Source organism: Homo sapiens, chromosome 22 (genome assembly GCF_000001405.40).
Source record: "Homo sapiens chromosome 22, GRCh38.p14 Primary Assembly".
NCBI classification, from domain to species: Eukaryota; Metazoa; Chordata; class Mammalia; order Primates; family Hominidae; genus Homo; species Homo sapiens.
In genome coordinates, this window is record NC_000022.11 from 20,707,455 (window position 1) to 20,721,607 (window position 14,153).

The 14,153-nt window shown below is 55.9% G+C and overlaps 1 protein-coding gene across 6 annotated transcripts in view; it reads right to left on the bottom strand.

Annotated features, from left to right (window-relative positions):
• The window catches only part of PI4KA (phosphatidylinositol 4-kinase alpha), a 151,121-nt gene continuing 137,204 nt past the window's right edge, over nucleotides 237-14,153 (bottom strand). For 4 of the 6 annotated variants that reach the window (NM_001362863.2, NM_001362862.2, NM_058004.4 and 1 more), the window contains 13 exons: nucleotides 13,844-13,964; nucleotides 11,239-11,368; nucleotides 10,254-10,324; nucleotides 7,174-7,246; nucleotides 7,004-7,074; nucleotides 5,827-5,936; nucleotides 5,239-5,343; nucleotides 5,032-5,157; nucleotides 3,887-4,007; nucleotides 3,245-3,404; nucleotides 2,454-2,543; nucleotides 1,842-1,925; nucleotides 237-644 (listed from right to left, as the gene is read on the bottom strand). In NM_001362863.2, coding sequence (NP_001349792.1) covers nucleotides 593-644; nucleotides 1,842-1,925; nucleotides 2,454-2,543; nucleotides 3,245-3,404; nucleotides 3,887-4,007; nucleotides 5,032-5,157; nucleotides 5,239-5,343; nucleotides 5,827-5,936; nucleotides 7,004-7,074; nucleotides 7,174-7,246; nucleotides 10,254-10,324; nucleotides 11,239-11,368; nucleotides 13,844-13,964 — 1,314 coding nt within the window. In that variant the 3' untranslated portion in view covers nucleotides 237-592. Of the gene's footprint in view, nucleotides 645-1,841; nucleotides 1,926-2,453; nucleotides 2,544-3,244; nucleotides 3,405-3,886; nucleotides 4,008-5,031; nucleotides 5,158-5,238; nucleotides 5,344-5,826; nucleotides 5,937-7,003; nucleotides 7,075-7,173; nucleotides 7,247-10,253; nucleotides 10,325-11,238; nucleotides 11,369-13,843; nucleotides 13,965-14,153 lie in introns of those variants that run through there. The other 2 variants (XM_005261635.2, XM_047441408.1) reach the window with 2 other exon arrangements.

Genomic DNA, 14,153 nt, shown 5'->3' on the forward strand with positions numbered 1-14,153 from the left:
CTGAGGGAGACAGTTTTGGAGCGGGCAGACAGCAGTCAGGACAAACACAATGTGTGTTTTGGTGCACCTATGCCGTGGTGAGATTGTGGGAATCTCATGTTTGTTAAGCCACAACCCGTGCTCCTGGGCCCCAGCCTATGAGTGCAGCCAACACTGGGCCCCCCTCTCTAGGGGCAAATCCAGGAACTGCCCTTTGGCTGAAGGTGGACTTAGGACTTGACACAAAACCTCACAGATTCCAACACAGCACTATTTTGGGTTTTTATTTTGTTGATGTTGGTTAAATCTTATCTCTTTTTTTATACACAATACTTCATGTACCTATGAAATAAGACAGGTAGGGAATATGTCCAGTGCAAACAGAGGACTCACACCTGTGCATAGACAGCACCATCCATTGATTGTCGCTGCAGTCCATGGCGTTACCAAGGCTGCGCCACCCACGTGCTGCCCCAGGAGGCGCTACCAGGTTCTTTGGGCCACAGGCCTCTCCTCCACTGCATGTGGCGGCAGGGCAGGGAGGTCGCAGGGCTCCATGATTGTGGGACAGCTTTGAGGGCACATGGGGCAGAGGCCCTCGAAGGTCCCCTCCTCAGTAGGGGATGTCATTCTGATAGTACTGGATCATGTCGTAGGTCCGGCTCCTGAAAGGCCAAGGAAGAGTGAAGGGAGATTCGAGGAGCCAGCAGGGTCTGGGGTCCCTCCCCACAGGGAGCCCTACCTGTCCAATCAGCCCCTTATGGCTGCCCAGCACCTGAAGGTACAAATGTCCCAGGCGTGCCCTCCCCCACCCAGTGACCACATCTCCTGCTCCAACCCGGGGGACTCCGAGGCCACCTCATGCTCCTCAGCCAAACCGCTTCCATCCGTGGGAGCCACTGCTCTGCCCCATGGGACTCGGGCCCCTTGGCTCGTCCTGGCCAGATGCCTCCAAGGGGTCTGTACGCTCTCCTCGCACCTCTGGAGAGCCCCTTCTCGCCCTGCCCCAGCCCCTCTTGAGGTCCTGGCCGCCTGGCTTCTCTGCTTCCTATCAGCAAGAGCTCCTTCCGTGCCCAGCCTCCACAGTGCCCTTGTTAGGGTGCCGGACCCGGGCGCCACCTGGGGGCAGGTCTCAGCTTCCTCTCACGCTCCTCCGGCAGTTCCCCATGCAGATGGCCACACCTGGGCCCCTCCTCCTAGTCTGTGAATGTGGTCTGTCCCATGGCACAGCCTTGGGCTCCCACATGCCCCTCAGGGCCTTACCAACCCCACATGTTTAAGTGCTGCCCCCTTCGGGGATGGCTCACTTGCTGGGATCGCCATCCTCCCTTTGTTCAGGCCGGACCCCTCAAAGCCACCTCTGACTCCCACAGCAGGGAGCCTGTCAGCCCGGTGCTCTGCCTTCAGACCCTGAGCCAGCCCTCCCCAGGGCCCCCTGCACCCATCTCCTCCCACCACAGTAGTGACCAGCAGCCCGGCCTGCACCTCCAGTCACTGCCCACGAAGCAGCCCGAGGCAGGCGCAGGGAAGGAGTGGGCTCTGACTCCTCAGCCCTCCTGGGAGGAGGGAGGCCTGACACCACACTCAGTTCTAATACTCCTGGCCTTGTGTCCCTATTGCTCCTTCGGCCTCACGAGCCCTGCCCAGGTGGGCCCGGCCTCTGCCAAGTGTTCCCCTCGGCACACCACAGCCCCCTAAACCAGCACCCCACTGCTCCTCAAGAGCTCCTGTCAAGACTTGGGTCTTCATGAGAGGGGCGGCTTGGGGACAGCAGAATCCTCATCGCCTGGTGCAGGCAAGGCCCTGCAGGTGCCCAGTGGCCACCGAGGCAGTGGGAGAAGGCAGGGGGGCGGGGCACTCACCTGTTGCTGAGGAAGCAGCTCTGGATGACCTTCATGATGAAATTTGCAGCCTCGCGCTCAGTCATGTTGGGGCTAAACCTGTGCCTGGGGGAGAGGCTGTGTCAGGGCTGCCATGGGCAGGGCCGTGCTGGCTCCCTGGCCCAGTGGGAGGAGGGTCTTCCATGGGGACGGACTTCAGCTGAGAGCCACGCCCTGGAAATGTACCTTTGGGGTCCACATGTTGGAAGATGGGGTGCTGTGAAGGCCACGCCTGGCCTATCATGGGCCCTGTCCCCTTCCCAGCATCACCTGAGTGGCCCCATGGCATTAGGGGACTAAGCATTGGGGAGCTAAGCTACTGCAGCCCCAGACCTTAGGGTGGAGGTGGGTTGGGCGTAGCATCCTTGACATAAAGAGGCCCCTGGGTGGGTCTCTGGTGTGGCCGGCACAAGCAGGGGCCCCTCACAGTTGTGGTCTAGGGGCAGAGCCTCACCCAAGAACCCTGTCTGCTCTGAGGTTCCAAGGAGATGACAACCACAGTGACAATTACATGAAAGGTACCTATCTTGGATGGAGCCTCAGCTAATGGACAACTGTCCCCCAGATGGCCTGCGTGTCCACCAAGGAACCTACTTCAAGAGCTTGATTGTCTGGCCGCGAAAACAGGGCAGGCCCGTGTCCAACATGAGAGTGACCAGGGAGACGACCGCGTCCATGTAGGGCCTGGGGAGAGATAGGAGGGAGCGGTGGGCTGAGGCCAGCCTAGGTGGTGGCCCTGCCTGTAGTCCTGTGGACTGGCTGATGCCAACAGCCTCAGGTGTGGGCTCCTGCCACCCACCTCGCCTGCCACATCTTGCACATCCCCGAGGCAACTTTCGATCTGCTGCACTTGGTAACCCATACCGCCCAGGCAAGGGCTGCCCACACGCACTCTGGACAGGCTGAGTGTCCTGCCCTGTCCCCCACATAAGGCTGCCGGCCATGGCTTCTGCACTTGGGTGGGATGCAGACACGCTGACCTGCCTTTCTCTGCAGGGCAGTGGGGATGAACCCAGGTTGGACTGTGGCCTTGGCCAAGTGACCTGTATATGAAACTGGGACAAAGCCCATCTTTGGCACGTAGCCTGTGGGGTGGCAGGTGCTCAGGCTTTGGTGACAGGGTGGATGGGATGCCCAGAAAGGGAGAGCCCATGGCTGAAGGCGTGGGCAGGATCGTGGGGAAGGTGGTTGGAATTAGATGTCCAGAGCAAGAATTTACTGGCACAGGTGGGCAGACAGAGGTGACCAAAGGACAGGTGTAGGTCAGCAGGTGGCTGCTAGCACCTACCTCACTCTCTGGAACCGGATTCCCTTCATCCTAAAGGGGATCTCAGAACGTTCCACACACCCCCTCCGCCTCCACCCTGGCCCTCACCCAGGCTCACCGCACAGCCAGGTAGCCTCGGACACACATCTCCATGAACCACTTGAAGGGTGTGGCCTCCATCTTGCCCCCCATGATCATCACCATCTCATCCGTCAGCTTGATGTCGGGTTCCCAGCCGAGATTGCCGCCCGGCGAGCTTTCAAACATGAAGCCAAAGTCTGCAAAACCCCAAAGAGCTGCCTGTGACTGGGTAGGAGCCAGGGCGGGCAAGGACAAGTGGTCTGTTTTGAGGAGTGGAAAAGGACTGCAACAGGAGCACCCCCTCCACCCCCAACAGGCAGGTTGTGTTTTCTTGGAGACAGTGATGGGGTGGGTGGTGGGGCAGCAGGCAGAGAAAGAGAAGGGAGGAAGTGGAGGAAGGAGCCAAGCTGGGGCACTGAACCTGGACCAGCCCCACTCCGCCCAGCTCCAGCTTCTGACTCAGAGCAATGGCGGCTCTCGCCCTAGCTCCCTGGGGCCGGGGCCAGGCACCCTCTACAGCAGAACAGCTTGGTGGCCGACAGTTCGGACCTCAGAGCTGGACCCTGACACTCCTGGCAGGGTGGTCCTGGGCATTCTCCTCTCTGTGGGGTGGGGATCCCTATCCACCCCTGGGTGCCAGGGGTGAAGGGAGAGGAGGGTGGCGCTGTGGCTGGCTGACCGATGTGGATGATATGACCCTTCTTGTCCAGCATAATGTTGCCGTTGTGTCTGTCCTTGATCTGCAGCAGGAACAGCAGGAGGCTGTAGGCGGCCATGCTTCGGATGAAGTTGTAGCGGGCCTGTGCAGAGAGCGCCCTGGGCTCAAAAAGGCCCTGGGGCCTGTGGGCATTCTCCCTGGTCCCACACCCAGGATCCCTGGGCCTGTGGGCACTCTCCCTGGCTCTGTACCCCCACTGTGGAAGCAGAGCCCGAATCAGCAAGCCAGTCTTCGGTAGCAGGAGTGACAGGGGCTCTCTGTGGAAGTGGGCGTGCAGGCACTTCCTCCCACACTCAGAACTTAACTTTCTTCTAAGGAGTCCAACCCAGCCCTACATTCTTTTGACTCCCAAAGTGGCTTACAGATGCCCTGGTGTTTTTTTTTTAAATGGAGTCTCGCTCTGTCGCCAGGCTGGAGTGCAGTGGCATGATCTTGGCTCACTGCAACCTCTGCCTCCTGGGTTCAAGAGATTCTCCTGCCTCAGCCTCCCGAGTAGCTGGGACTACAGGTGCCCACCACCATGCCCAGTTAATTTTTTTACTTTTAGTAGAGATGGGGTTTCACCATGTTGGTCAGGATGGTCTCGATCTCTTGACCTCATGATCTGCCCATCTTGGCCTCCCAAAGTGCTGGCATTACAGGCGTGAGCACTGCGCCCGGCCAGGTGCCCTGGTTTTTTTGTGTTTTTTTTTTTTTGAGATGGAGTCTCACTCTGTTGCCCAGGCTGGAGTGCAGTGGCGCAATCTTGGCTCACAGCAACCTCTGCCTCCTGGGTTCAAGCGATTCTCCTGCCTCAGCCTCCTGAGTAGCTGGGACTGCAGGCGCGTGCCACTATGCCCAGCTAATTTTTGTATTTTTAGTAGAGACAGGGTTCACCATTTTGGCCAGGATGGTTTTGATCTCTTGACCTCGTGATCTGCCCGCCTCGGCCTCCCAAAGTGCTAGGATTACAGGTGTGAGCCACCGTGCCCGGCCCAGGTGCCCTGGTTTTAACCCTTAACAAAGGATGACTGAGGAGAGCAGGGTGTGGGTGGAGGCTGGGTATGGGTGGCTGGGGTGGGGTGGAGCACACACGACCTCCCCCGGCCTGTGGCCACCCTGGCTACCTGCTGGAAGGCCAGAGTGGACTCATCCCCGTACTGGCGTGTGAAGTAGTCGTACATGCCGAAGTCTGTCTGGCGGCCCAGCTGGTCCCGGGAGGTGCAGTCGGGGATGCACTCGATCACCCCGCACTAGGAGGAAAGGCCAGTTCTGAGGCCCGCTGGGTGCGAGGTGCCCAGGGCTGCCCTACTGGCTCCACTCAGGGAACTTACCCCAGGGGCAGTGGCCACCACGCGGTAGGGAAAAACAAAGAGGTCCAGGCCGACCAGCTGGAAGATGTTCTTGAAGAGGTCGATGATCTGCAGGGCCAGCATGTCCTGGGAAGCCGGGAGGCGCAGGATGCGGTCAGTTGGCGTCCTTGCACCCCAGCAGCTCTTCTGGCTCATGCAGGGCAAAAGCCAAGCACCCAGAGATGGAGTGAGGTGGGGAGACCACAGCCGAGCAAGAGTCTGGAAGGCCTTCCTTTCTGACCACCGGGGGCTGGACTCAGGCTGCTGGGACCACCAGGCCCTGGGCTGAGCATGAGGCTGAGCTGTCTGGTGGGGTGTGTGAGATAAGGCACCCAACCCCTGGACAGTTCCCTCAGGTGGGCACTGGCATGGCGGGGACAGTGGGAAAGGGGCTGGAAGGAGAGGCCTCTGGGTTTTGCAGAAGCCCTAATTTACCCCGTGGCACCTGAACCATATAAGAGAAGGAAAAGATTCACATTTCTGCATATGAGATTGGACTCTGGCGGGCCTGGAGCCTTGGGGAGCAGCAAGCCCAGTCCCCAAGCCTACTCGAGGCCTGACCCTGCTTACCTGCCGGCAGTCGTCTCCCACCTTGAAGATGGCTGCCTGCCAGGAGATCTTCTGGCCGTCGGCCTCCTGCGTGCTGCACTCATCCTCGGAGTCTGAGCGGCACCGCAGACCTGCCCGCAGGGAGAGAGGCCGCTGTTAGCCTGTAGGCAGTGAGAAGCCCTCTGAGGGGGCCAGGGATGAGTCCTCTCACATGCCTGAAAGGAACCCCAGCAATCTTGGGGATCACTTCTTCAAAACCCCAAGGAGGCCAAGGAGGAGCCCAGCAGGGCCCAAGGAAAGCCTTGGAACAGCAGGTGGAATCCAGGGTTGGAGTCTAAGAACATTTAGGCTTAAATGGAACTAAAAACAGAGCCCCATTTCATCTGCAGTGAAGACCCAGGTGTGCCTGGGTCAGTGTTGGGTGCTGTGAGCTAGGGGGCAGGAGGAATGTGTCTGTACACTGGGGTCCTGGGAGGGCTCGGGGCCAGCGTGCAGACATGGCCATGGGAGGCAGGTCCCTGCAAGGGGTGGCAGCCCCCTCTCCACAGCTGGCCACACCGTCTGTACTGGGTTGAAGAGTGTCTCCCTAAAATTCATGTTCACCCCAAACCTTAAAATGTGTCCTTATTTGGAAACAGGGTCTTTGCAGATGTAATTAGGTTAAGACAAGGTCACAGTGGATTAGGACAGTCCCTAATCCAATGACTGATGTCCTTCAAGGGAGATCATCATGTGAAGAGGGAGGCGGAGATGGGAGTGGAGCATCTGCAGGCCAAGGAGTGCCAGGACTGCTGGCAACACCACCAGAAGCTGAGGAGGCAAGGTGTGACCTGCCCAGAGCCTTCAGAGGGGGCACGGCCCTGATGATGGACTCCAGCCTCCAGAACTGAGATCGTCCGTACGGTAGCCCTGGGAAACTAACACCCCCCAACAGCCCCGGGCCCCTCAGCCTCAGGAAGGAGCCTGCTGGAGCATGCCAGCTGACTCACGGCAGACAGACCTCTGGGGTGGCACATCTGTCAGTGCATTTGAGCTCCCTGCCATCCCCCAATGAGGGATCTGACTGAGTGAGGGCAGACAGATGGACAGACATCATCTTTTATGGAGAGCTATACTAAATTTAACACATGCCAGAAGAAACTGGCATTAGCAAGGAAAAGCACTGAGCTCCCAAACAAAATCAGGGTTCTTTACTGACCTTCTTTTTCAAGTTCACTAACTCCACATCGCTTCACCTTGAACTTGGCCAGATATGGGGCTTTTGCAGCACTGAAAACAACAAAAAGAATGTGGCACCCATGATGCAGCCGAGAAAAACTTCGCACGCGGACGCGTGGAAGTGGGGGATGGGTAGGGTGAGGCGCCCACCTCTGCATCGGGGTCCCAGACTTGTAGTCGATGTCCAGCACAATGGCCTCAGGGTTGCTGGGCAGGTAGCAGCCTGTGCAGGGACAGAGGCAGTCACAGGGAGTGCATGTGTCACCACAGGTGAGCCAGAGTCAGTTTCCAACACGGATGTTACATGCGTGTCCACCCTGCAGGCACACCCCGCCCCTGTGGAGGGGCCTCTGGTCCTTGTCCAGGGCACCACTAACTTATTATTCCATGGCCGCTAAGGGTCCGTCCTCCTTGACTCTTCGACTCTTCCAGCCATCAACCAAATAAGTCTGCACCTTCTGGGAAATGCTCTTCCTGGAGGAGCACTGAGCCCCATCCTCACGGATACAGCCCTACTGCTTCTGGGGGTGCGTGTGAGGCCTGTCCTGCCTCCACCTGCCTGAGCAACCCTCTGAACAGCCCTCCATTCTTGGAGTCCTTTTTTTTTTTTTTGGATAGAGTCTCACTCTGTCACCCAGGCTGGAGTGCAGTGGTGCGATCTTGGCTCACTGCAACCTCCGCCTCCCAGGTTCAAGCAATTCTTCTGCCTCAGCCTCCTGAGTAGCTGGGATTATAGGCGCCTGTCACCATGCCTGGCTAATTTTTGTATTTTTAGTAGAGATGGGGTTTCACCATGTTGGCCAGGCTGGTCTCAAACTCCTGACCTCAAGTGATCCACCTGTCTTGGCCTCCCAAGTGCTGGGATTACAGGTGTGAGCCACTGCGCCTGGCCTTCCTTACCCATTTGAATACTACTCTCTCAAAAGGCTTACTTAAATGTCACTATGTCCATGAACTGTCCTTGGTTCTCCCAGCCTTTAGGACTTTTGTCTAAGACGTTTCTTTTTTTCTTTTTGAGACGGAGTCCTACTCTGTCGCCCAGGCTGGAGTGCAGTGGCTCGGTCTCAGCTCACTGCAACCTACGCCTCCCGGGTTCAAGCGATTCTCCTGCCTCAGCCTCCCGAGTAGCTGGAATTACAGGCGCCTGCCACCGCGCCTGGCTAATTTGTGTACTTTTAGTTGAGACGGGGTTTCACCAAGTTGGCCAGGCTGGTCTGGAACTCCTTACCTGAGGTGATCCACCCGCCTTGGCCTCCCAAAGTGCTGGGATTAAGGCATGAGCCACCGCGCCCGGCCAACATTGTTTCTTTATGTTTATTTTATATCTCTGTGAGTTCAAGCTTCTTCAGCTCAGGGACCATGTCTTACTCATCTTTTTAACAGCTACAATACCTAATGTCATGCCTTTTCTTTTCTTGTTTTTGCTTTTTTGAGATAGAGTCTCACTCTGTCACCCAGGCTGGAGTGCAGTGGTGCAATCTCGGCTCACTGCAACCTCCACCTCCTGGGTTCAAGTGATTCTTGTTCTCAGCCTCCCAAGTAGCTGGGATTACAGGCACGCGCCACCATGCCTGGTTAGTTTTTTTTTTTTGAGACCAAGTCTTGCACTGTCATCCAGGCTGGAGCGCAGTGGCGCAATCTTGGCTTACTGCAAGCTCTGCCTCCCGGGTTCACGCCATTCTCCTGCCTCAGCCTCCCGAGTAGCTGGGACTACAGGCGCCCGCCACCACACCCGGCTGATTTTTTGTATTTTTGGTAGAGACGGGGTTTCACCGTGTTAGCCAGGATGGTCTTGATCTCCTGACCTCAGGTGATCCACCTGCCTTGGCCTCCCAAAGTGCTGGGATTACAGGCATGAGCCACCGCACCCGGCCCAGGCTCCCCTTTCTCAGTGAGTGCTCAGTAAATGTGTGAAATAAGAGGACAAGGGAAAGCCTGTTTCTGGCCAAGGAACTGCCAGTCCCCAAGGGGGATGTGTGCTCCTTGAGCCCTGAGAGGTGGGCTTTGAGGGGAGCCAAGCTTGGCCTTGCTGTGGGGTACAGGGAGAGGGGGGCATGCCATCTCCTCCTCTTCCTCACCTGCCCTTCTTCCTGCTCCAGGCTGTGGCTCACACTCAGGCCCCTCTGTGCTCTCCTGCTAGAGCCCTGCTGGCTTCCCTGACCTCTGGGGCAAGACTCAGCCAACACAATCTAGAGCCAGGGGCTGGGGACTTCTGTGCATGCCCCCTGCAGTACAATGCTTCCAGCTCTTTTTGCCCCTCCCCAGCAGTTGTGGCCTTCCCGATGCGGGAACAGAGGCCCTGCATACATGTCCTGCCCTCTCTGGGAAGCCGTGCTGTTGTGTGAGCTCAACACAATGTGTTGGGAAGAAATGGTTAAACCGGGGTCCTGCAGGGCACTCCACAGCTGAGACCAGCCGCTGTGAACATCTGCACAGGACAGAGTTTGGAAGACAAGTTTGTGCCAATAGTTAGAAATGCAGAGAGAGGCCGGGCACAGTGGCTCATGCCTGTAATCCTAGCACTTTGGGAGGCCGAGGCGGGCAGATCACAAGGTCAGGAGATTGAGGCCATCCTGGCTAACACGGTGAAACTCTGACTCCACTAAAAATACAAAAAAATTAGCCGGGTGTGGTGGCGGGTGCCTGCAGTCCCAGCTACTCGGGAGGCTGAGGCGACACAGCGAAACTCCATCTCAAAAAAACAACAACAAAAAAAGAAATGGAGAGAGAGCTGCCCAGTGAAGTCTGGATTTCCATCTTCTCTTGAAAAGCTCAGCTTGAATTCCCATGTGGCCACAGCCACAGGCACCCAGGAGCGACTTCCCATGGAGGCGGTGGGGGGGTGGTGCTGATGGGTCCCAGCACACCTGAGCCGTCCCACACTGGGCCCGCCATCCCCTCGTCTGTGTGACCTGCTCCTGTAATGCTGGAGCCTAGGAACCCTCTTCTAGAGTAACAGCTACTGAGGTCACTGTCAGCCTCCAGAAAAACAGCAGGCAGCAAGGAAGATGAAGGGCACCCACTGACGAGCAGCTCCCGCTCACTAGCGGCAGATTCTGGGGAGGGGCTGGGGTCCTGGGGCACCAGGCACCGTGGGCCCAAGCAGGTGTGGGGCTGGCCAAGCCACTGTGTCCACATCCTGCAGTGCCTGGAGAGGGCAGCAGCCTTCACGCCCCGCCGCCCGCCTGCAGGAAGAGGTTGGTCTGAGCCTCCAGAAGCCACCTGCTCACCCGGCTGCACCTTCACTTCAGACAGGGCCGACAGACAAGCCTTCTTTCTCTCGTCGCCTTTAGGGTAGGGCCTGAGAAACAGGAAAGAAATTCTTGCTTTGTCTCCTGGAGGAACTGGCTGCTGGGGGACAGCCCAGGGCCCCTCCTGCCTGGATTGCCCTCTCTGTCCCTCTCTTCCCGGCTCTAGCTGCTCCTAGCGCAGCCAGGCACCACTGGCAGCGATTCTTGCCCTGCATTCCTCATGGAGAATCCCCGACAGCCCCGGAAGGGCTGTTTTCTGGCAGGCTCTGCCCCTGCTGTGTGCGGGGGTGTGTGGCTGGGGGTGGTGGGGGTAATAATGCCTGCCACCTGCTGCCACCCAGGAAACGCTAGCTCCCGTCCTTCATCTCGTGGGTTAGAAGCTGCCAGCACTGCTATTCTCAGCACCCAGCCCAGAAAAGGACCTCAAAGTGACCAAGGTCAGAGCAGTGTAAGCACTGGAGACAGCCCAGCCAGCGTGCCCAGCATTGATGACTCCAGGGTTTCATCCCTTATGAATGCACAAAGCCATCAACATCCAAGGATGGTGTCAGGTCCACATGAATGGAAGGTCTAGGAAAACGATGACAGGACCTGCAAAGGCAGTCTGGTTTTCCTGACACCATGAGGATCGATCCTTCAAAGTGTGGAGAGGGCAGGGTGGCCTCAAATTGTGGAGCCATGTGCTAAATTCCACAAACCTCAGGAATGAAACTAAGCTGTGTTTCCTGAAACTGGCGTGGCCGTGCATTCTGCCATACCTTCAAGAGCCCTGGCTCACCCCAAGCAGTGCTTCCCCACCCACCCTGGCTGTCCATCAGAACCACCAGCGGCCCCGCTGCTAGAGACTCTCATTCATCTGGTTGGGGCCAGGCACGGGTATTTTTAAAGCTTCCCAGGCAATTCTGTTAAGCTGCAGGGACTGGAAGGAGATCCCAGAAGGTGGTTTCTGAAGCACTGCACTTACTTGATGATAGCCGACACGTTGGTGATCTTGTTAAAGAAATCAAACTCCCGCTGGTAAAAGTCCTTCGCTGGGCCGGACAAGGAGCCTGTGATCTCCTCTACCAACTGATCCAGGAGGTCGCCGATGTCAGCTGCCAAGGAAGCAAAGAGGCTTAAGTCTCTGTGGCTGTGGCAGAGGCCCCTCAGGAATACCAGCCCTGTTTCCCAGGCCCCAGACTGGCAGTGCCCAGAGTATGCTCTGCAGGCTTGGTGAGACCATAACAGCTGCCGTGTGCCCCTTTTGCTGTGTTGACACAGCTGACGCTGCTGGGAAGCTAAGCTGGTGCCTAAGCGGAGCTCAAGGCAGGGGCCAAGCGCACAAGTGGACGTGGAATCCTCACTGCTGCACACGCTACACACGCAGGAAGAAAAAAGCCCGTGTCATTTATGAATGTCACAGGGCATAGAATCCTCACTGCTGCACACGCAGGGAGAAAAAAGCCCGTGTCATTTATGAATGTCACAGGTGAAGCAATGAAAACTAATTCTTATTAAACTCTACCCTGAATACATGTCTTTTTTTTTTTTTAATAGAGGCACACAGTGGGCGGGGCTCTATATTAAATAGTGCCTCTCACTATTCAAATCCCAGGCTGAATTTAAATTCCTGGGCTCAAGAGATCCTCCTGTCTCAGTCACCTGAGTTGCTGGGACTACAGCTAGTAGGTGGGACTACAGGTGCGCATCACCACATCTGGCTTTTAAAGTATCCTTTGTGATGAAATGGGATGTGCACGAAGCACTCTTGCCGCATCTAAGGCAGGCGCTGTCCTGAGAAGCACCTGGAGCTTGTCTGATTTTGGAGCCTGGACTAACCTTTTTCACAGACCTTTGTTTTTACTTGAAGAAATGACTGACAGACAACATATAGCTATTCAGACTTAGGGATGTGGCAGATGTTTTCCTGAAAATGAACAAAAAATAAATCTTCCACTCAAAGGAACTGAAACATTTTTTTGGAAAACTTGGATCTGCTGCTGTGAGCTCAACAGCTTCCCTTAAAAACTCTTTCTGGGCCGGGCGTGGTGGCTCATGCCTGTAATCTCAGCACTTTGGGAGGCCGACGTGAGTGGACCACAAGGTCAGGAAATTGAGACCATCCTGGCTAACATGGTGAAACACCGTCTCTACTGAAAATACAAAAAAATTAGCAGGCGTGGTGGCAGGCGCCTGTAGTCCCAGCTACTCGGGAGGCTGAGGCAGGAGAATGGCGTGAACCTGGGAGGCGGAGCTTGCAGTGAGCCGAGATCGTGCCACTGCACTCCAGCCTGGGCGACTAATCAAGACTCTGTCTCAAAAAAAAAAAAAAAAAAAAAAAAAACCCTTTCTGGTAAGACTGGCAGATGTGAACAAATATGATTTTTCCACACTGTACAAAGAAATGCATCAACCTTTGAAAGATGTGCATAACTCACTGGCCTATATTTTACAAATGCCCACCGTTTGATGTTATAAAAGCTTTTGTGGGTCCAGGTGCGACGTAGACAGACTTGAACAAAACACAGCATGAGAAGTTTACTGCCAAGTTTAAGATGCCACACTGCAATTAACCTTTTTTTTGGCGATCCTCCTGCCTTGGCCTCCCAAAGTGTTGGGATTACAAGCATGAGCCACCATGCCCAGACTGCAAGTAATCATTAAGAAGCTAGGCTGAGCTACAAAAAATTAAAAATTAGCCAGTCGTGGTGGCGTGCACCTATAGTCTCAGCTACTTGGGAGGATGAGGCAGGAGGATCGCTTAAGCCCAGGTGGTCAAGGCTGCAGTGAGCCGTGATTGCGCCACTGCATTCCTGCCTGGGAGAGGGACCCTGCCTCTAAAAAAATAAAACAAAAGCTACCACTTCTCAAGTGTGGTGCAGTATCAAAAAGAATCTCCACAATGACCTGAGAGACTACTAACATACAACTTCCTTTTTCAACTACATTCACTTCAACTGAAACAACACTGCAACAGATCAACTGCAGAAGTGGAACGAGAATGAGAATCCAGCCGTCTTCTACAAGGAAATGCCACTCTTTTGGCTCATTTTTTAGTTTTTTGGGGAAAGTTATTTTCCCAAAAAGATGTTATTTATATTAACATGTAATGAATGGGCTTACATTTTCTGAAATTCTGTCTTAATCTCTAATACTCGTTAACACTGACAGCTAATGCTCACATTAAACAGCGCTCTTTGAGGACCTCAATAAACATTTCTGACAGTGCAGGGGTCCTGAGGCTGTGCTATTTGGGAACCGCTGCCCTGGGCTGACGGCCCCTTCCTCACATGCAGTCACAGTTGTGTTGACCATGGAGACTCTGCAGAAGCAGCCACTGGAGCAGAAGGGTCTCACTCGCACTTGGGAGTGCAGGGTGGCATCGGACAGCAAGTTAGCAAAGGTGTCATGAAGGAGGGGTCCTGCTCCCCTGTGTGCTGAAAGGTGAGAAGTGCCCCAGCAAAGGGTGGGAGTGGAGGGGTCGGTGAGCTGGGGCAGTGCAGGCTGGCGAGAGCCCTGGGGGCTGTAGAAGGTGCTTGGCAGTGCACTGAAGACAGTAAGTGAGGCCTGTGGGAGGACAAAATACTCACGGTCTTTCTGGTGGCCCTCTTCATCTAGATAAATGTTAGTCTTCATGTTCCAGATGAACTGGTGTGCCAGAAGCTGGGATTTAGACGCTGCCCACAGAATATACTCCCGCACATAGCCCATCTGCAGGAGAGCAAGGTCCCTGTCAGCCAGGCTCGGCCCTCTCCATGAGGAGGGCCTTGTCAGCAGCTGCTGACTCCCGGCATTTGGTAGACCAGGCAAGGGTAAGGCCCGGTGGCTCTAGTGGTGTGGACAAGCTCTCCAGGATTGATGTTGAGTCCAGCCAGTGGCCAGGCCAAGTTCCAGCTGGCT